The sequence below is a fragment of the Homo sapiens genome, chromosome 16, assembly GCF_000001405.40.
Source record: "Homo sapiens chromosome 16, GRCh38.p14 Primary Assembly".
Lineage (NCBI taxonomy): Eukaryota > Metazoa > Chordata > Mammalia > Primates > Hominidae > Homo > Homo sapiens.
The window spans coordinates 23,197,134-23,217,509 of record NC_000016.10 but is presented as its reverse complement, the minus strand read 5'-3'; the positions used below and the strand labels follow the sequence as shown (position 1 = coordinate 23,217,509).

General features: G+C 47.2%; 1 protein-coding gene across 1 annotated transcript in view; it reads right to left on the bottom strand.

Annotated features, from left to right (window-relative positions):
* The window catches only part of SCNN1G (sodium channel epithelial 1 subunit gamma), a 34,139-nt gene continuing 14,389 nt past the window's right edge, over window positions 627-20,376 (bottom strand). Inside the window, exons 6-13 of the mRNA NM_001039.4 lie at window positions 20,083-20,246; window positions 7,662-7,760; window positions 5,359-5,476; window positions 4,754-4,832; window positions 4,616-4,673; window positions 4,347-4,408; window positions 2,723-2,798; window positions 627-2,421 (exon numbers count right to left, since the gene is read on the bottom strand). Coding sequence (NP_001030.2) covers window positions 2,041-2,421; window positions 2,723-2,798; window positions 4,347-4,408; window positions 4,616-4,673; window positions 4,754-4,832; window positions 5,359-5,476; window positions 7,662-7,760; window positions 20,083-20,246 — 1,037 coding nt within the window. The 3' untranslated portion in view covers window positions 627-2,040. The remainder of the gene's footprint in view (window positions 2,422-2,722; window positions 2,799-4,346; window positions 4,409-4,615; window positions 4,674-4,753; window positions 4,833-5,358; window positions 5,477-7,661; window positions 7,761-20,082; window positions 20,247-20,376) is intronic.

The window sequence follows — 20,376 nt, the reverse complement described above, 5'->3', positions numbered from 1 at the left end:
CCTGGCAATGCCCTGCCCTATAAGGTCTGGTGGAAACACCAGATAGAGCAGAGGCTTACTCTAGCCACAGGCCTGGGGTTGAGTTGGACCAGGGATGCCCAGGTCCAGACAGGGTCCCTACAGCCCCTCTCTTTTACCAAGACTCTTGCCCTTACTAGCAGCCATTCTCATGAAGGGATTAGTCCTGAAATGTGGACCTTCCCCACCCATGGATGAAGGACTTCCTTTAGCCCTAGAGCCAGGGTATTTAGCCTCTCCCTCTTCCTACCCAAAATGACATCGGACTCACTCTTAAAAGGTACAGACCAGAATGGCTGCAAAATAATGGAGTGATAAAAGGCACCAGCTCTGGTGTCAGACTGTCTGGGGTCAAATCCTAGCTCTGCAACCTCTTAGCTGTGTCACCTTGGGCAAGTAACTTAATCTTTTATGCCTCAGTCTCTTCATCCACAAAATGGGATAATCATACCCATTGAATGTGCTCATCCAAGGGTCAGCACAGTTTTCCGTAAAGGGACAGAGGGAAAATATTTTAGGGTTTGCTGGCTTTGCAGGTCTGGGTTGTAGCTACTCAACTCTGCCACTGTAGTGCATGAATGGCCATAAACAAAACTTGAACAAATGGATGTGGCTGTGTACCAATAAAACTTTATTTATAGACACTGGAATTCGAATCTCATATCATTTTCATGAGTCACAGAATCTTCTTCTTTTGCTATTTAAAAGCAAAAATAAAAATTCTTGGCTGGGCACGGTGGCTTGTGCCTGTAATCCCTGCACTTTGGGAGGCTGAAGTGGGAAGATCATTTGAGGCCAGGAGTTCAAGAACAGCCTGGGCAACATAGTGAGATCCTATTTCTACAAAAAATAAAAAATAAAATAAAATAAAATTCTTAGTTCATGGTCAAAAACAGGATTTGCTTTGCGGAACACCATTTGCAGTCCCCTATGCTAACCTATCTAGGTGCTTAAAACAGTACCTAACACCCTGTTCTTGGGTTGGCTTTAAACACCAACCAAGGATTTAATACCTGTTAGCCATTTCAGGTGGAAAGATGTGAATGTGGTATGAAGTGGGTCATCTGTGGCAGTTGGCTTGTTGGTGAGGGACAGGCCATTGGTAATGGAAGGGTCAGCTCTGTCTTGGAACAGCTGCCCAGAGCATGGCCCACCATGCTCCCCCTCCCCACCCAAAGTGACACAGACCTCACCCTTTAAAAGGCACAGACACGAATTGGATGCAAAATCATGAAGTCAGATTGTCTGGGTTCAAATCCTAGCTCTGCCACCTCCTCACTGTGTCACCTTGGGCCGGTAACTTAATCTTTCTGTGCCTCAATTTATTCATCCACAAAATTGAATAACTAAATCCATCTCCTGGACCCACCCATGCCCCAAAGTGAGGACACTCTGACATAGTCCCAGACCTCCACCACGGCACTCTGATCTCCACCAACACTCCAAGGGCTCTGGGCCAGTTCTCTGCTGCCTGAGGGCATGGAGGACACCTTTCTCCAGTGTCAATGATGAAGAACAGTTTATTCACAAACGGCTCCAGCTTCAGGGCTGGCACTTTCTCCTATCTTTGGCATCTGGCAGTAGCTGTCCAGCCTTGACACTCAAGGTCACATCCTTGGGCCCCAACCCAGGCTGGCAGTGTGGGTGAAACCCTCGGCTTTGGGGCTTTGGAAGAGTCCTTCCCTCTCAAGACCCGTAAAGAGCTGCATCAGTCCTCACTCTGGCCTTCACTTGGGCCAGCACCACTGCCTCGGCTCCCAGTCTCTAGTGACGTGCTAATAGTTCAGGTCCCGGGATTTATCTCAGCCTGGACAGTTGTGAGTGTTGCTGCGTAGTACCCGATGGCTCCTCCTGCGCATGCCCAGGCCCCATCTTGCGGTTTAAAGCAGGCTTTTTGGTCAGAGTATCTGAAAAGCCCAGAGTGGGGCAGAGGGTCCCCTGTGCACACGTCTGGGGGCACCCGATCCATGTCCTTAGACCATGGCTGGTGGTCCTGACTAGATCTGTCTTCTCAACCCTGCCTCAGAGCTCATCCAGCATCTGGGTATCTGTGAGCTGGTTGGAAAAGGCCCTCTCCAAGCGCAAGGTATTGTATTTGGGGGGCGGTGTGCCGGGCACTTGGGTTCCTAGGGCTGGAGGCAGGTGCAAAGCAGAGTTGAAAGTGGGTAGGTCATCGTCTATATCCAGGGCTGGATTGTCCTGGCCCTGTGGGCTACGGGGAGCTTCTGGACATGGGGGAGCCTGTTTCCAGGCCCACCACTCCTTGGCTTTCTGCCACTGGCGGCGGGCAATGATAGAGAAGAAGTCAATGAAGAAGACCTCGATGATCTCGATGACGCAGACAACAGAGCAGCTCATCCACAGGCCCAGCTGGCCACCGAAGTTGGACAGAAGCATCTCAATCTGCAAGACAGGCCAAGCCACACCATCAAGAGGAACCTCCCCCCAAGTTGGCCTCACACAGGAACCCTGATTCCCAAGGGAGCCACGGGTCAGCCCCGACCCTGCACAGGCTGGGAGGAAGAAGCAGGCAGCCTTCCTGTTTCCTCTTACTCTGTGCATTCCGACCTGAGACCTGGCTAGCCTACAACAGCCCTCCTAGAGTAGGCTGGAACCCCCTACCCTGATTCTGCTCCCCAAGGCCAGGAAGATGCTCACATTTGTAGGCCCAGGACAGGTCCTGGAAGGAAGCCACTCTACTCACACTGTTGGCTGGGCTCTCCATGATGGATCTCTGGTTCAGGTCTTTGTAGAATATCAAGAGTTTGGCCAAGTCTGTCCTGCAAAATTCCAACAGGTGAATCAAGAGCCTTGGCATCCTACCAGATTACCAGTCCTCAGCATGGCTGTCTCCCTCCTACCCAAGCTGGCAGCATGGCCAAGGCACTGAGCTCCTTGGGGATATTAGAACCTGGCCCATAAGGGCTCCGTCTACACCCCAGAGCATATCTCCAGCCTGGATCTGGTCCACAGGTCATTCATTCACTCAAGAACTGCTCCCCAACTTCCAGATTAAGTCAGTCGACCCAGCCATACTGCCATTGTACCCTGTTCTTCATTAAACATTGACATTTGTAATTGATTGATTGCAATCTCAAGTATGTACAGGTAATGTACATGAGCAGGGTAGTTGAGGTAATATGATAATAGGCACAATGGCAACAAGCATTTATGGGGCACTTCCTGTGTTGCCAAGCACTGTCGTAAGAACTTTATGTGAACTAACTCATTGAATTCTACCAACAGCCCTATGAGGCAGGTATGTATATTTTCATCATCCTCATTTCGCAGATGTGGAAACTGAGATGCAGATTGGTTAAGGAACTTGTCCAAGACTATGCTGTCAATAATTGGCTGAGCCAGTACTCCAACTCATTTAGATCTAGCTTCAAAGTCCATGCTCTTAACCATTGCACTAAACTGCCTCTTGATAGGACGATGGTGAACTGGACCATGACTCAGCCAAAAGAGCAAGTATTACTCAGCTGTTTGGTGCTACAAAACAGTGGAGGGTCGTTCTTGCCAGAACTTTTGAATTTTCAGGAAAAGTTGGAAATAATGGGTTGCTTTCATGAGGCTAGATTTGGGCCAAGGATCAGTCACCAGCTTGCAACACTTGGTTTAATGGTTTGCAATTGCTTGGTCAAAGTCTATTTTCTCATTAGAGTGTAAGTACCTCGGGGGACAGAGACTATGTCTGCTTGATTGTCCTGGTTCCCCCAGCACCTCACACAGCACCTGGCACCTAGGGGGTGCTCTATGAATGTTGGACGCAAGATTGGCCAGATTGGCTCTCATGGCAGGCAGGCCCAGCAGTGCGCATGAGGGAGATAGTGATGGCTTAGAGAAATGTGAGTTCACATGGCATGATTCACAGATGTGAGTTCACCGTCTCCCAGCTTTGAGGAAATGAATGAGTGAGTGAATGAAAAGGAGAGGGGGCCAGGCTTGGTGGCTCACGCCTATAATCCCAGCACTTTGGAAGGCCAAGGGAGGTGGATCACTTGAGGTCAGGAGTTCGAGACCAGCCTGGCCAATATGGTGAAACCCCATCTCTGCTAAAAATATAAAATTAGCCAGATGTGATGTTGCGCACCTATAATCCCAGCTACTTAGGAGGCTGAGGCAGGAGGATTGCTGAAACCCAGGAGGCAGAAGTTACAGTGAGCTGAGATCACACCACTGCACTCCAGCCTGGGTGACAGAGTAAGACTCCATAAAAAAAAAAAAAAAAAAAAAGAGGATTTGGCCATACACATACAGAAGCAAGTGAGAAGGCTGGGGGCTGTGGTGGGAAGAGACAGAGGAACAGGGTAGAGGTAACTTACTTGTTGAGCTTTTTGTTTACTTGCCGGCCTTGGTCCCAAGTGAGAACAGGCAGCAACCACTTCTACAACGGAGAGAGAAAGCGTGGGCCTGAGGGTGCCTGAGAGGCTAGGGCCAGCCTCCCGCCTCAGGCTCCCCAACTTGTCCCCCAGCCTCCACAAGGTAATTCTTTTCCCCCTGGACCATGTCCCAGGCCAGAGGACACAGCAAAAATGTCAGTGGGGCTCCAGGCTGGGGGCTTCAGTGGGGAAGGGTGGGCAGAAGAACTTACCTCCGAAACCACAGATGGCCATTGTGCCAGGCTTGTGGTTAGTGTCCACTCTTTAAAGCTAAGGGAGGAGGGGACAGCATGAGTGTAGGCAGCCCAACCCAACCCAGCCACCCGTCTCACCCCTTGGGGTCCACATACCTGCAGGCTTCCTTGCACACAGACTGGCAGCCCAGCTCTTCCTGGACAAAGGCTCGATGCAGTTGGTAGTAACAATACACTGAGGGACAAGGGAGAGGGCAGCATGAGCTTTGGAGCCACAGGACCCTTCCTGGCCATCCCCAGGTCACCAAGGACAGCCCCGCAGTCTCATTTTAATGATTTCTCCTCCCACTTTCTACCAACTCTCTGGAAACACATATTGCATTGTGATGTTGGGAAACAGAAAGCAATGGCGGTTGAGGATGTGAGTTGAAGGTCAGACCACCCTTGGTTTGGATCCAGCTCTGTTCCTTTCTGGCTGTGTGACCTTGGGCAAGCCACTTAGCCTTTCTGGGCCTTGGTTATCTATTCTGTGAAAAGGTAATATCCACCGTTCCTACCTCCTGGAGTTGACTAAGGTGGTCAGTTGCAAAGTATAATTTAAGCCAGGCTTGACAACAGAAGTAAAACTCTAGTTAATGGCTCTCAACCAATACCTCCCTCACGCAAAAGGCAACAGGGGTGGAGTCCCAGGAGTGCCTATTGCCAGGACTAGGCTGACCCTGGTCCTGGGGCATGCAAGGCTGGAGCTGGGTCTCACTCACTCCAGTTGGGGTGCTGCTGGTAGTTGCAGTAGTTGGCTGCAGGAGGTAGAGGCTGGCTGTACTGGGCACACCCACATTTCTCCACCATCTTTGTCTGGAAGCATGAATGAAGGCAGATCTGAAAGAGGAGACCCAGGAATGCCATTCATGTCTTTGCTCAGGGATGTCAGGGAGTTTCCTGCACATCCCTCAGCCCAGGGGGTCAGCCTCCCTTAACCTTGGCCAACCACATGAACCTGCCCCTTATGCCAACTGGGCTGGGCATGGTCCCGGAACTGCAAAGGGCCCAACCTGGAAGATGTATTAATAATTTACTTATTATTTTTATTTTTTATGTTTTTTGAGACAGTCTTGCTCTGTTGCCCAGACTGGAGTGCAGTGGCATGATCTCAGCTCACTGCAACCTCTGCCTCCTGGGCTCAAGTGATCCTCCCACCTCAGCCTCCCAAGTAGCTGCGATTACAGATGCACACCACCATGCCCAGCTAATTTTTTTGTATTTTTGGTAGAGACAGGGTTTCACCATGTTGGCCAGGCTGGTCTCAAACTCCTGACCTCAAGTGATCCTCCCACCTTGGCTTTCCAAAATGCTGGGATTATAGGCATGAGCCACACCTGGCCGATGTATTAAGAATTTAGACTAACTGAGATATGGAGATGGGGCTGAGCTGGGGCTGCAGTAGTTGGGTGGTCATTTTCCATCATGTGGGTGCCAACACAAAGATAAGTGGGAAAATTAGAGGAGTTGTCAAGAAACAGAGAGAAATAAACACAGTCCCTGTGTTCCTATTCTCAAGCCCAACCCCTCCATGTTGGATCTTCATGGATCATAAGCTACCACAATATCCATGGAGCTTATAGCATAAAAGCTAATGGCAGAGTTCCTGAAGGCAGGCTACTCAGGTCAAATCCAATCTTTGCTATTTTTCTGCTGTTTGGCATCATGCAAGTTACTTAACCTCTCAGATGCTTTGCTTTCTTTATAATAATATCAACTTCATGAAGTTGTGAGCATGAAATGAATTGATACATGTAAGGTGTGTGTGTGCATGGTAGTTCTCACTAAATGTCATCCAGAAGTATCTTTCTGATGAGCTCACTTTTTTTATTTTTAAAGACAGGGTCTTGTTCTCTCACCCAGGCTGAAGTACAGTGGTGTGATCATGGCTCACTGCAGGCTTGAACATTTAGGCTCAAGGGATCCTCCCTCCTCAGCCTCCCTTATAGCTGAGATTACAGGTGTGCACCAGTATGCCCAGGTAATTAAAACAAATTTTTTTTTTTTAGAGGCAAGGTCTTGCTATGTTGCCCAGGCTGGTCTCAAACTCCTGGGCTCAAGTGATCTTCCTACCTTTGTCTCCCAAAGTGCTGGGATTATAGGCATGAGCTACCATGCCTGGCCCAAAAGTCCTCTTTTACTCAGTGTCTACACCACCTCTCAGCTCAGCTCTTATCTAAGTTGGAAGACTCAGTGCTGAAGGTTTCTGGTCCTTTTGTTCTGCTGGGATGATTCTCATGGACTCTCTGGGGTATCCTGGTAGGAGGTGAACTATAAATTCCCAGAATGTGAGAGGAGGCAGAACAGATCATCTCACTTAAGTGTTGAAAAGTCAGATGTCTACAGGAGACAGTGATGGAAGTGACATACTGGAGGGGTAGTGAAAACTGTGGGAGCCAGAGAACACCTGCTTCATTTATTGGGGTAGCTACACCCACTGTTTATCCTGCAGGAAATATGGGCTCAATGTTGCTGTATCGTTTCATTTTTTCGAGAGGCTGGAAATCTGGATTTTCTTGTGAAATTCCTTGACTTTCGAACACCATCCAGGCTCTTGAAAAACCAGGTATGCCACCTGGAAGGCGACTGGGAGCTGCAAATTAGCAGCCCCTGATCCAATCCCACCTCCCCTTGTGGTTGCTGAGGGGAACCCAGCTGGCCCAAGGCCATCATCCAGAGAGGGGCACCAGCAGGCCCGGAAGCCATGCTCTTGACCCTTCAGCCAGTGTCTCTCCCAGACCGCTTCTTTCCTGTTCCTCCCTTGCCAAGGCCTACTTAGGAGGTGGGCCTGTCTCAGCTGTACATTGAGTTCCACAGAAACCTCGGTGTATCAATTAAGCTCTGGTTACAGACGAACTGCAGAGGACTGGAACCAGCCGGCATCATTTGTTCTTGAGGTCTCTGGATGAACCCCAGGGATCCTCACCAGAGTTCCTGGTGCAAGCCACACCCCAGCTTAGATATAACTTTGTCTCCTGGGTCCGGGCCATAAACCCAGGGCTGGGTGCCCCTGCCAATCTGTTACCTGGAGCGAGTAGGCAGCGTTGTAGATGTTCCTGATTGGCACGTCACTCCCGTCCTCCGTGCACTGACTGTAGGGCTCACTCAGCTTGAAGGACTCTGTCTGCAATCACAGCAGCACACACTCAGCCCTGTCCTCCCCCCGGACCCAGGCGGGGGCTTTGCAAGGAGCACCAGACAGGGGACTTTGCAAGCAGCCCTTGGGAGCTGAGAAGCTATTTGGTCATTCATTTAATGAAAAGTTAGTGAGAACCTATTAGGTGCCTGGTACTGTGGTAGACACTGAAATCAGCAATGATCAAGATAGATAAGTTCCCTGCTCTCCTGGAACGTACCTTCCAGTGGGGTAAACAAATGGTCAGCAAGCAAATAAATAAACAAGATATTTTGGATAAATCTGGATGGTGTTTAATGAAATGGGGTAGGGAAACTGGAGGCGTTAAGAGCAGATGGGCAGTTTTTCCCATAGAGTGATTAGGGAAGGTATTTCCGAAAAAGGGACCTGTTGGCTTAGCGTGGAACTGCAAGAAAGAGCTGGTCTTGTCAAGAAGTGGACAGGAAGTCGGGAATGGTGACACACACCTGTAGTCACAGCTACTAGGGAGGCTGAGATGGGGGGATCACTTGAGCCCAGGAGGTCAAGGCTGCAGTGAGCCATCGTCGTACCACTGCACTCCAGCCTGGGCAACAGAGTGAGACTCTATCTTTAAAAAAGAGGATGAAGTGGACAGAGTACGATTGGGTAGAGCAAACAGGAAAGGCTTGAAGCAAGATGGGCTGGTATGGCTGAAAATGGCAAAATAGAGAAATTGCTGGAGATAAAGTCAGATGGGGAGGTTGAGGCCAAATCATGCCCAGCTGAGAAATTTGGATTTGATTGTCTGAATGAAATGAATTTGCAGTTGGCAAATCCACTGGGACGTGGGAGGAGGGATTAGAAAGATGAGCAGGGGCCAGGCTCAGTGGCTCATGCATGTAATCCCAGCATTTTGGGAGACTGAGGAGGGAGGATTCCTTGAGTCCAGGGTTTGAGGCTGCAATGAGCTATGGTTGTGCCACTGCAATCCAGCGTTGGTGACAGAGGAAGACCCTATTTTGAAAACAAAGAGAGAGAGAGAGGGAGGGAAGGGGGGAAGGAGGGAAGGAAGGAAGAAAGGAAGGAAAAAAGAAAAGAAAGAAGAGAGAGAAAGAAAGAGAGAGAGAGAAAGGAAGGAAGGGCGGGAAGGGAAGGGGAGGGGAGGGGAGGGGAAGGGAAGGGAAGGGAAGGGAGAGAAAGGAAGCGGGAGCAGGGACTGTGAGTGCTTGGGATTCTCGCTCAGGTGAAGGACCCATTGCCTTGTTTTCTGGTCCCAGAAGTTGACTTGAAGGATGTTGACTTTCTTAGAAAAAAGCTAAGGAAAGCTCAACAGAGTAGAATGCTACCCTGATCATGAGAGGAGGTAAACAGCATTGTCACTCAAAATTCAAAATCCTTATTCAATAATTTTTTTTGCTTTTTTTTTTTAGAGATGAGGGTCTCACTCTGTCACCCAGGGTGGAGTGCAGTGGCACAATCAAGGGTCACTACAGCCTCTACCTCCCGGGCTCAATGGACCTTCCTGCCTCAGCCTCTCTGAGTAGCTGGGACCACAGGCTCCTGCCACTGCACCTGGCTTCAATGATGTTTTATTGTGGATTACTAAATTTTGCTCTAGCTTAATATTTGTCACTGCAAATAAATAATCCAGCCAAGCCAAACAAGCAAAAATGGGGGTGGGAGGATAACATCTTCTAAGGTCAGCAACTCAATGGAAGATAAATAGTGACCAGTTTATTACAACTGTGTGTTTGTGTGCTGTGTGCATCCACGTGCCCATGTATAATTGTTTTTATTTTTTTGGTTGGGGAGATGGGGGTAAAGAGAAAAAGAATGGCAGATTTGTGGGAGGGAAGAAAATTATTTTCTCTTTGAAGAAAGAATGAAAACGGGTAGAGGGGGAAGGAATTAAGAGGTTTGAGGCAGGTGGAAACTAGCCATCTCAACTGGTATAATCCCTTTCTGTTTGTATTGCATTTCATCTGCTGACCCATTAGTCTCCCTCAATTAGCTGCAAGTACCTCCAGGGCAATTGACGATGCTCATTTAAAACTGTTTAAACAACAGAAGCAAACAAAGGGGAAAGTGGCTGTCTGGCCTCCCCTCTTTCCCAGGGTGCCCGCACTAGCAGATCAGATCTTGCATCTCAGACAGACAGACATGGACTCATACATTTACTTTGCCCTGCAACCCGCCCTTCTCACTAACAAGAGTGAGTGTCTTTCTATGTCAGTACAGAATAAATAGACTTAATAGATGGGTAGCAAATGCATGCAGGGCCTCTAGTGCACACCAGGGCTGGGCTGGGCACAGAGGTGCAAAGATGCCAAGCAGTGGCCTTCCTTGAGGTCACAATTCCTTGCCATCCTCTAAGCTTCTCCAAGCAGCAGGATCCCTGGGCAGAAGCGTTCCTTTGGTCCCCCCGGTCCTGCTGAACTGTTCCCAGAGTCTAGAGTGTCAGCTACAGGCTCTAGCTTCCTGGGGTAGGAAAGCATAATACTCTGGCATCCAGATGAGGGGTCTGTCCACTTAGGCAAGCCGAGTGCAGCCAGCAGGGGTGGCTGGGGCTCCCTCTACCCTGAAAACCAGCCCATGGCCTGCTTCCAGGAAACTGATTATGAGAAACCATTTGGATTTCAACGCTTTCTGAGTACTCAATGGCCCTTCATTCTGCAACGATGCTTATCAAACTCACAGCTCTTGAAAGGTTCAGGTTGTTTTCCGAAGCAACCAGAAGTAGAGCAAATGGAGCAAATTTTCTGTTCATGCCTCGAATGCATGAACTTTGACAGAATGCTCTTCCCTCGGCCCCAGCTTCCAGTTTTCTAGAACTGCTGGCTTGTGGAGGCTAGGAAGACATTTTGACTTCTATCCTGACCCCTAGGGACACACAAAAAAGAGTGTGTATATGTGTGCATATGTGTGAGTTTGTATGTGTATCTATGCATACACTTATGCATGTAAAAGTGTGTATGTGTGTGCACACATAGGTATGTGTGGATGTGTGTGAGTGGATGTGGGCATGTATGTGTAGGTATAGGGGTATATGTGTGGGACACGGAGCCCATTTATATCAAACCAGATTCTTTCTGCTTCTTTCTGAAGATCTTGGGGGAAGGAGACAATTGTATAGGAGTCCTTAGCTCACCACCCTCTCTCTCTGAGACAGGGTCTCGATCTGTCACCCAGGCTGGAGTGCAATGGTGCAATCATGGCTCATGGCAGCCTTGACCTCCTGGGCTCAGGTAATCCTCCCACCTCAGCCTCCCAAAGTGCTAGGATTATAGGTATGGGGCGCTGCACCCAGCAAGCTCATTCTTTAAGGTATAAACAGTGCTAAGGGGGAAAGCCCAGATGGCAGCAGAGCCTGAGGGGAAGGGAGGTGACAAGAGGAGGGCCTTTATCAAAGCCCCCACAGCTTCTGGGGTTAGAGAGCCAGCTCCCACCTTCTTGCAACCTTGAGACCTTCCAACCAGTATAATCACTTCTCATCTGTAAGGTGGTCAGTCCAGCCAAGCTATTCCCAGACAAGGTGGCTATCAGACCATTGTTCTCACATTTCAGTGGTAACTCTTGTCCCAGCCAGTAATCCCAAGTCACCTTCTCAGAAAGATTGCTGTCTTGCCACAGCTTAGAGGTTTGCAAATTCTGTTCTGTCTGCACCCTGTTTTAGGGCCCATCACAGCGGGGTGGGCGGTAAGCAGGCTGGTTTCCCAGGCTCAGCTACATTCATCCTGCATTTCTGTTTCCATTGTGTACATTTCTGGGTAAGACTTTGTTTGAGTGAGAGATTCTCCCAGTAGTAAAAAGGACTTCCTCCCCCAGCCACTGAGGGCATGGTGGAGGTGTCTACCAGCCCCAGTCAACAGGCTAAAGTGGCAGCTGGGCTCTGGGGGTGGGTGGGGGGCTTTTCTTTCCCTTGGTTTCCATGCTATACCCCTGTTTCTCAGAATGGACTGCTGCTGCTTCTGCCAGGGAGGGGACAGCAGGGATGGCCAGGCTGGGGATGGAACAGGTGGATGGTTTTCTTCTTGAACCTGTGCAGACCTGGGAGGGACTTTTTTTTTTTTTTTCTTGGAGATGGAGCCTCACTCTGTTGCCCAGGCTGGAGTGCAGTGGCATGATCTCAGCTCACTGCAACCTCCACCTCCCGGGTGTAAGCCATTCTCATGCCTTAGCCTCTCAAGCAGCTGGGATTATAGGTGTGTGCCTCCATGCCTGGCTAATTTCTTTGTATTTTTAGTAGAGATGGGGTTTCACCATGTTGGTCAGGCTGGTCTTGAACTCCTGACCTCAGGTGATCTGCCCTCCTTGGCCTCCCAAAGATTACAGGCATGAGCCACTGTGCCCAGCTTGGACTCATTATTGAGGAGGTTTTGTTTGCTTTGGGTCTCTAGGCTGTCTCAGGGCCCCTCCCATGACCCTGTCCTGATGGTCTCCTCTGACCGTGGGCGTAAGGGGGTTGAATTCTGGGCCCTTCTAGAAGGCTTTTTCTCAACGGACCGTATTATGGTCAATGGTCATTCACCCCTAAACAACCGGGAGCACCAGGCAGGCTAGCTAAGGGGTCAGGAATGTAGGCTTGGATCCGAACAAGTCTGAAATCAGATTCCCACTGTGCTACCTAGTGGCTATTTGATTTTGATTAAACAATAACAACAATAGACCAGGCATGATAGCTCATGCTTGTAATCCCAGCACTTTGGGAGGCTGAGGCGGGTGGGTCACTTGAGGTCAGGAGTTTGAGACCAGCCTGTCTAACATGGCGAAACCCCGTCTCTACTAAAAATACAATATTTAGGTAGGTGTGGTGGTGCACGCCTATAATCCCAGCTATCTGAGAGGCTGAGGTGGGAGGATTGCTTGAACCCAGGAGGTCAGAGCGGCAGTAAGCTCCCACTTTGGCCTCCCAAAGCACTAGGATTATAGGCGTGAGCCACTGTACCCGGTGAAAAAAATTCTGATGGTTTAGAATATTACATGAAATAATAAAATAACTGGAAGCAAACTCAATTTAGTATCTGGTCTCAAAGAGGAAGAACTCTCATTAACATAATGATTAAAGAAGAAAACAAAGACTTTGACTATGTAAACATTCACTATTTTGCATGTGAAAAAGTACCCTAAAGAAAACCACAAACTGGGAAAGATGTTTGCAACACATACGGCAAATAATCATTATCCTTTATGTATGTATAATTATTAATAGTATCTTTTATATATAATGTACTAGTAGTGTATAATATAAATATATATTATATATGTATATATATATAAAATTCATAAAGGAGAGAGGTGTCAAAAAAGACAATAGAAACCTTCCCTAACCCCTCTTTTTCCTTTTTCACTCAAAGTTATTTTTCCTTCTCTTCACCTCTTTTCTTAAAAAATATATAGTAATAGTCTCTCTCTCTCTCTCTCTCTCTCTCTCTCTCTCTCTCTATATATATATATATATATATATATATATATATATATATATATATATGTATATATTTGTGATGGAGTATCACTCTGCCACCCAGCCTGCAGTGCAGTGGCATGGCCACAGCTCATTGCAATCTCTGCCTCTTGGGTTCAAGTGATCCTCCCGCATGAGCCTCCCAAGTAGCTGGGACTACAGGTGTGTGCCACCACGGCTGGCTAATTTTTATATTTTTTGTAGAGATGGGGTGTCACCATATTGCCCAGACTGGTCTCAAATCTCCTAGGTGCAAGTGATCCACTGGCCTCAACTTCCCAAAGTGCTGGAATTACAGGTGTAAGTCACTGCCCTCAGCCAAGCCAATATATTTTAAGCACTGACTATATGCCAAACACATTTCCAAGCGTTTCACATGCACCAACTCATTAAATTCTCACCAGCCATGAAGTAACGTCATTATTATCATCCCTATTTTACAGATGAGATCACTGAGGCAGAGATTATACAACCAATGTGCAAAACTGGGGTGGGTTTGAATCTCAGCCATCAGAGCTCTTTTTTTTTTTTTTTTTTTTTTTTTTTGAGACGGAGTCTCACTCTGTCGCCCAGGCTGGAGTGCAGTGGCATGATCTCGGCTCACCGCAAGCTCCACCTCCCGGGTTCATGCCATTCTCCTGTCTCAGCCTCCCGAGTAGCTGGGACTACAGGCGCCTGCCACCACACCCGGCTAATTTTTTGTATTTTTAGTAGAGACAGGGTTTCACTGTATTAGCCAGGATGGTCTCAATCTCCTGACCTCGTGATCTGCCCACCTCAGCCTCCCAAAGTGCTGGGATTACAGGTGTGAGCCACCGCGCCTGACCCATCAGAGCGCTTAATCCCTGTTTGGCATAGACTGAACTTGTGAAATAAAGTCTGGCTATGTGCTTTAGAATCAAAATGTACAACAGGATTTGTAATGACATGGAGTCTCCCCATTCTCCAGGGCCTGGTCCCCAACCCCACTGGGTGAGTGGTCCACCCACGTCCACTTCTTCATTTTCCATTCACCATTCGACCCACTGCACTTCGGTTTCTGTTCCACTCCTTCCACTGAAAACAACTCTGGCATAGAACACTGGTGACCTCTTGGCTGCCAAAACCAGAGAATACTTTTGCCTTCTACCTTGCCTGACCTCTCGACTGTACTTGCTTATTTGGTCACACCTTCTGTAAAATTCTCTTCCTTGATTTATCTGATGCCAACTCTTTCTGGCTTCTGTTCCTACTTATCTGCCTCTCTTTCTCCTTTTACTTTCTGCTCAGCCCTTAAACATTTGCATGTTTAGGGTTCTGTCTCAGGTCTTGGGTGATGGCATTTATTTCCATGTCTACAATTACCCCCCAAGGTTTTCTCCTTAACTCCAGGTCCATAGCATCTAATGAATGCTTTCTTTTCACCTTGACTTCTCAAAGGCATAACAAATTGGGTCTGTCCCAAATCGAAGTGGTCATCTTCTCCCAAAAACATACCCTGCCCTTGGATTCTCTAATTCTGAGCCTGGCATTCCTCCATCTCCCTGCCCAAGCCAGGACCTAAATATCAATCTAACTTCCCCCGGCCCTTCTGGCTAACATTGGCTGTCAAGTCCTGTTGCTTCTGTGCTATAATATCCGTGAAATCTATTTCCTCTGCTCATCTCCACAGCCATTGCCTCAGCTGAGGTCCACATCATTTCTTTCTAGAATTACTACAAATGTGCTGTCTCCAGTGTACTGATTGTACTTCCACTAAAATGATTTTTTGAAAAGTTTCTCTACACAGCTTAAATAAACTCCTTTTTGTGACTCCTCTGTAATTGCTACATTCTTTGTCTGGACTGGCTCTTCTTGACTATTTGCCTGCACTTGTCCTTCTAAATCCATTATTTAGAAAGCCTTCTCCAGTAGCTTCTGTCTGGGCATCCATCCATCCATGCACCTACCCACGCACCCACTCACCTATCTATCCATTCAGCCAGCCAGCCATCCATCCACCTACCCATCTACCCACTCACCTATCCATCCATCCATCCATCCATCCATCCATCCATCCATCCATCCATCCACCCACCCACCCACCCATCCATCTGTCATCTATCAATATTTACTGAGGATCTGTTATGTTCTAAGAAGTAAGCTTTGGAACCAGGCAGAAAAGGTCTGTTTCCACAGAGATGGAAACTGTATTGCAAAGTTGTGCTTACTTTTGTCTTTGGTCAGGTGTGGTGGCTCACATCTATAATCCCAGCACTTTGGGAAGCCAAGATGGGAGGACTGTTTGAGGCCAGGGGTTTGAGACCAGTCTGAGCAACATAGCGAGACCCCCATCTCTACAAAAATGTAAAAATTAGCCAGATATGGTGGCATGTGCCTATGGTCCCAGCTACTTGGAAGGCTGAGGCAGGAGAATCCCATGACCCCAGGTGGTCGAGGTTGCTGTGATCTGCGAGCTGTCATCACACCACTGCACTCCAGCTGGATGACAGAGCAAGACCTTGTCTTTAAAAAAGCAAACAAACTTTTGTCTTCCCCTCTGAAAGTTAGGAACTTTGAAGGTAGGAGCTCTGTTGGGTTCACCTTTTAATATTCAGTGCTTTGGACACACAATCTCTCAGTGAATAAAGGAAGTTTTGTTTACCAACTGCCTGGCCAGCCTGACTGAGCCTACCAGCTTCACACACCTATTAATCAATCAATACATAAATAAAATCAGAAAAGAAGAAAGGAAGGAAGTCTAGTTTGGTTGGAGTTTTTCTTAGTGACACTCTGCTGACCTCTTCATAAACCCTGTTTTTTTTTTTGTTGTTGTTCTAAATGCTCATAAATCAGACCTAGAGCTGACTGACCCTGCTCTGTGGCTTTGATTTTCTACATCTTAAATTAGGTGTAGCAGAAAACTCACTCATGTCTTTGTTTACCCACTACTGGTAAAGAGAACATTTGCTTAACAATGTGGTGGGTATTTCCAAGCTCAGAGCAAGAAAACAAGAGAGCAGAATTCCTTAGTTCTTATACTTTTACAAGCTCTAGTAACTTACACCAGTTTGAAAAGGGGGAAGAGGGCGAAAGGATAAGGGAAGGATGCGCTGCAAATCCTGGATCCTACTTCAGGGTGCAGATAAAAGTGTGTGGGACATGTCTGACCAAAATGCTCACCATTGTGCTCTGAGGTTTTGCCATCTGCCAGTGAACAAAAGAATGAGTTGCCCAGCTGCTTAAGTGGCTATCTCTTAAAAAAGTCTTTTCAAGTCACAGTTTGAGCAGATTGAGGGTTCGAGATAGTTTTTCCTTTTTCATTCACACAGCTCAAGCTGATACACATTACTTCCCTCCCATGCTGGAACAAAGCCCCTAAGTAACATGCCTCCTGAGAGCATCTGGGGGCCCAGAAAGACCATTTTGATGGTTTCCCTTGTCCAGTGTTGTCCTTTTCATGGGGCACCATGAGGCAGTGAAGCCCCAGATTTCATCTGTCATACTTCCATTCCGGTTCATCATCTCGCTGTCTCAGCTTAAATAGCACCTCCTCAGGAAAGCCTTCCTTGAACCTCATCTTCCCCATTGAAAATGAGCCCCAGGTCAGTCGTGTCATAATATGCACTCATATGGTCTTACATTTCTTCTTCATAGCAGTTATGGCAATTATAATGAATCATTTGTATTATTTCTGGTTTATTACTCAATCCTCTCTGCTGGACTCTAGACTCTCTCAGGACAGGGACGGTGTCCTCCACACTGAGGTGCCCCATGTCTAGCACATAGAAGGTGCTCAGAAAATGTCAATTGAATGGATAAATGACAGGCGGATATCCAAGCCCTAATTGCCCACCATCTTTTTATGTAACCCAATGCAAAGCTATAGCTAGAACTTTGTGTCATTCTAGCTTCACTTTTACTTGGGAAGACACAATTAGCTTTTCCTCTAATTCTGCATTGCTCTAAAGCCAAGGCTCTCAGGAGTTCAAGGCTCCAGTGAGCTATGATTGTGTCACTGCACTCCAGCCTGGGTGACAGAGCAAGAACCTGACTCTAAAAATTTTTTAAATTTAAACATTAAAAAAAGGTCAAGCCAAGACTCCCAAGGGTGCTGCCTCTTAGAATAACCACTACAACTTGGTAAAAATATAGATCCTTGGGCTCATCTTCTAGAGATTCTGATTCAGTGGCTTTGAGTCTGATAATCAACCAGGTTTGGAAACCACTTCTCTGGAGGATATGTTTGTGAAGGATAAAAGCTAGGAAGTTTAATTGGGGATATTAAGGTTGGATTTAAATAAAGGCATGAACAAATGTATAGTCCACAAGGAGATTTTGTTTCTTTCTCCCCACCCACAAACAGGTAAAGAAAAACGTCATTATGGGCCAGGCGCTGTGGCTCACGCCTGTAATCCCAGCACTTCGGGAGGCTGAGGCGGGCGGATCACAAGGTCAGGAGATCGAGACCATCCTGGCTAACACAGTGAAACCCTGTCTCTACTAAAAATACAAAAAATTAGCCAGGCGTGGTGGCGGGTGACTGTAGTCCCAGCTACTCGGGAGGCTGAGGCAGGAGAGTGGCATGAACCTGGGATGTGGAGCTTGCAGTAAGCCAAGATCATGCCACTGCACTCCAGCCTGGGTGACAGAGTGACACTCTGTCTCAAAAAAAAAAAAAAAAAAAAAAAAAAGAAAAGAAAAGAAAAGAAAAACATCATTATGAAAGAATGAAATTAAAATGATAACAGATACCATTTTTCTCTTGACAGATTAGCAAAGATTAAACATTAATACATTATGTTGGTTAGAGTGTGGGGAAATAGCTACTCTCATATTGCTGGTGTGGTTCTCAATTGCTATATCCTCATTGGGGGACAATCTGGCAAACACATGTCCTGTTTGACAAACTTCTAGGAAGTAACTGGGCAAATACACGTCACATTGCACCATTGCTTTTAGTTGTGCCTGAAATGACCTAATGTCTATCAATGGGGGGTTGCATCAATAACTTATTCACGCAATGGAAGACTATGAATCTTTTAAAAGAATGATGCAGATCTATATGTTTTGATATGGAACCATTTCCCAGCTATAGCATTAAGTGAGAAATATTTTGTATTTGCATAAAAGGAGAAATGCTTATACCTATATGCACTTGCTTGAATGACTAGAATATCCCTGCCAAGACACAGTAGCAACAGTGGTGGTCCCTCTGGAGAGGAAGGAGAAGTCTGGATGTCGGGAGTGGAAGAGAGATACACTCTGCTTGGTACACTCCTTGGTATGGTTGGTGTGGACACTCTCTTTAAATAAGTTCTTAAAAAAAAAATAGAGGCAGGGTCTCACTATGTTGCCCAAGCTGGGTCTTGAACTCCTGGGCTCAAGCACTCCTCCCCACTCAGCCTCCTGCAAAGCTGGGACTACAGGTGTGCCCCAGCATGCCTGGCTAATTTTATATTTTTTGTAGAGATGGGGTCTTGCTATGTTGCCCAGGCTGGTCTTGAACTCCTGAGCTCAAGTGATCGTCCCACTTCAGCCTCCTGAGTGGCTGGGACTACAAGTCTATGCACTGCACCTAACTCCTTTAAATCAGTTTTTGTTTGTTTGTTTGTTTTTGAGACAGAGTCTTACTCTGTCACCGAGACTGGAGTGCAATGGTACAATCATGGCTCACTGAAGCCTCGACCTCCCTGAGGTCAGGTGATCCTCCTACCTCAGCCTCCTGAGTAGCTGGGACTACAGGCCTGTGCCACCATGCCTGGTGATTTTTTTTGTATTTCGTTTTTGGTAGAGATGGGGTTTTGCTATGTTGCCCAGGCTGGTCTCAAACTTCTGGGCTCAAGTGATCCACCCACCTTGGCCTTCCAAAGTGCTGGGATTATAGGCATGAGCCACTGTGCCCGGTCTAAATAAGTTCTTAACAGTCATTCTATGAAAGAGAGAAAGGGAGAGGCAGATAGATACTGGAATAAAAAGACCCCAGGCCTGCAAACAAGAAAACTCCATAAGCAGTGGAGTGACCAAGGCCATCAGAGTCCACTCTTCATCTTGCCATTCAGCTCCCATTGGGCAAGGCTGACTCGGGGATTGGAGTCTGCGGCTTACTTGTGCTTCTGTTGATAGGTTTGCATGTTCTCAGTGCCCAATGAGGTCCACAAAGGTCAAATTTGGAGGGAGAAGGGGTTCTTGGTAAATGAGGTAAAATTGACAGGAGTGTAATGGGCTAAATAGACTTTGGATAGCTGAGTGACTTTCCACTAGGCTTTAATACAGTTATTGACATGCCTCATAGGCCTCTAAGCAGCCCAGAAAGATAGACGGTAATCTTATCTGTTTGTATTACTGACAAATATATAGTTAGTGTCCTAATGCCTTGCTTCCAGCATAGGTTCCATAAATGCTGGTGTCTTGAAATTCTCTCCCCAAATGGCACCCTGTCCTATTAATCCATACAAATACAACCTTTTTTTTTTTTTGAGATGGAGTCTTGCTCTGTTGCTCGGCTGGAGTGCAGTGGCGTGATCTCGGCCCACTGCAACCTCCTCCTCCTGGGTTCAAGCTATTCTCTTGCCTCAGCCTCCCTAGTAACTGGTATTACAGGCACACACTACCATACCCAACTAATTTTTTGTATTTTTAGTAGAGACAGGTTTCACCAAGTTGGCTAGGCTGGTCTCAAACTCTTGACCTCACCTCGGTCTCCTGAAGTGCTAGGATTACAGGTGTGAGCCACTGCAGCCGGCCAGAAGATACAAACACAACCTTTAATGTAACTCCTGAAATGAATGGGATAACCATGGGAAAATCTGGGACCATGTTCCCTTTTGAAACAAACACCCTTTTCCATAAGCTGCACCCCATTGGTTATCCTTGGAAAAAAAAAGATCTGTTCTCTCCAAGCCTATGGAAATGAGAATATTCTCTTACCAGGTGCATTCCTATAGAGGTGACCATTGCTGTCTCAATCTCTGTTCCCACATCTTCGACGAAGGGATACTCATCCTGCCGATGGATGATCACCTTAGCTCCAGTGGAGGACACGAGGAATGGGTTGTATTCCTCTTCGTTTATGTACAAAATGACTTGCAGCCCTGGGAGGATAAGACAACCTGCTGTGATCCAAGGCTAGGAAAACATTTCCTGGGGGTAAACCACCTCTCCCACTGCTTCAGGAGCTTCAAACCCAAGACCAGGTATTTCTAGCAAGTGACAGGTGGACGA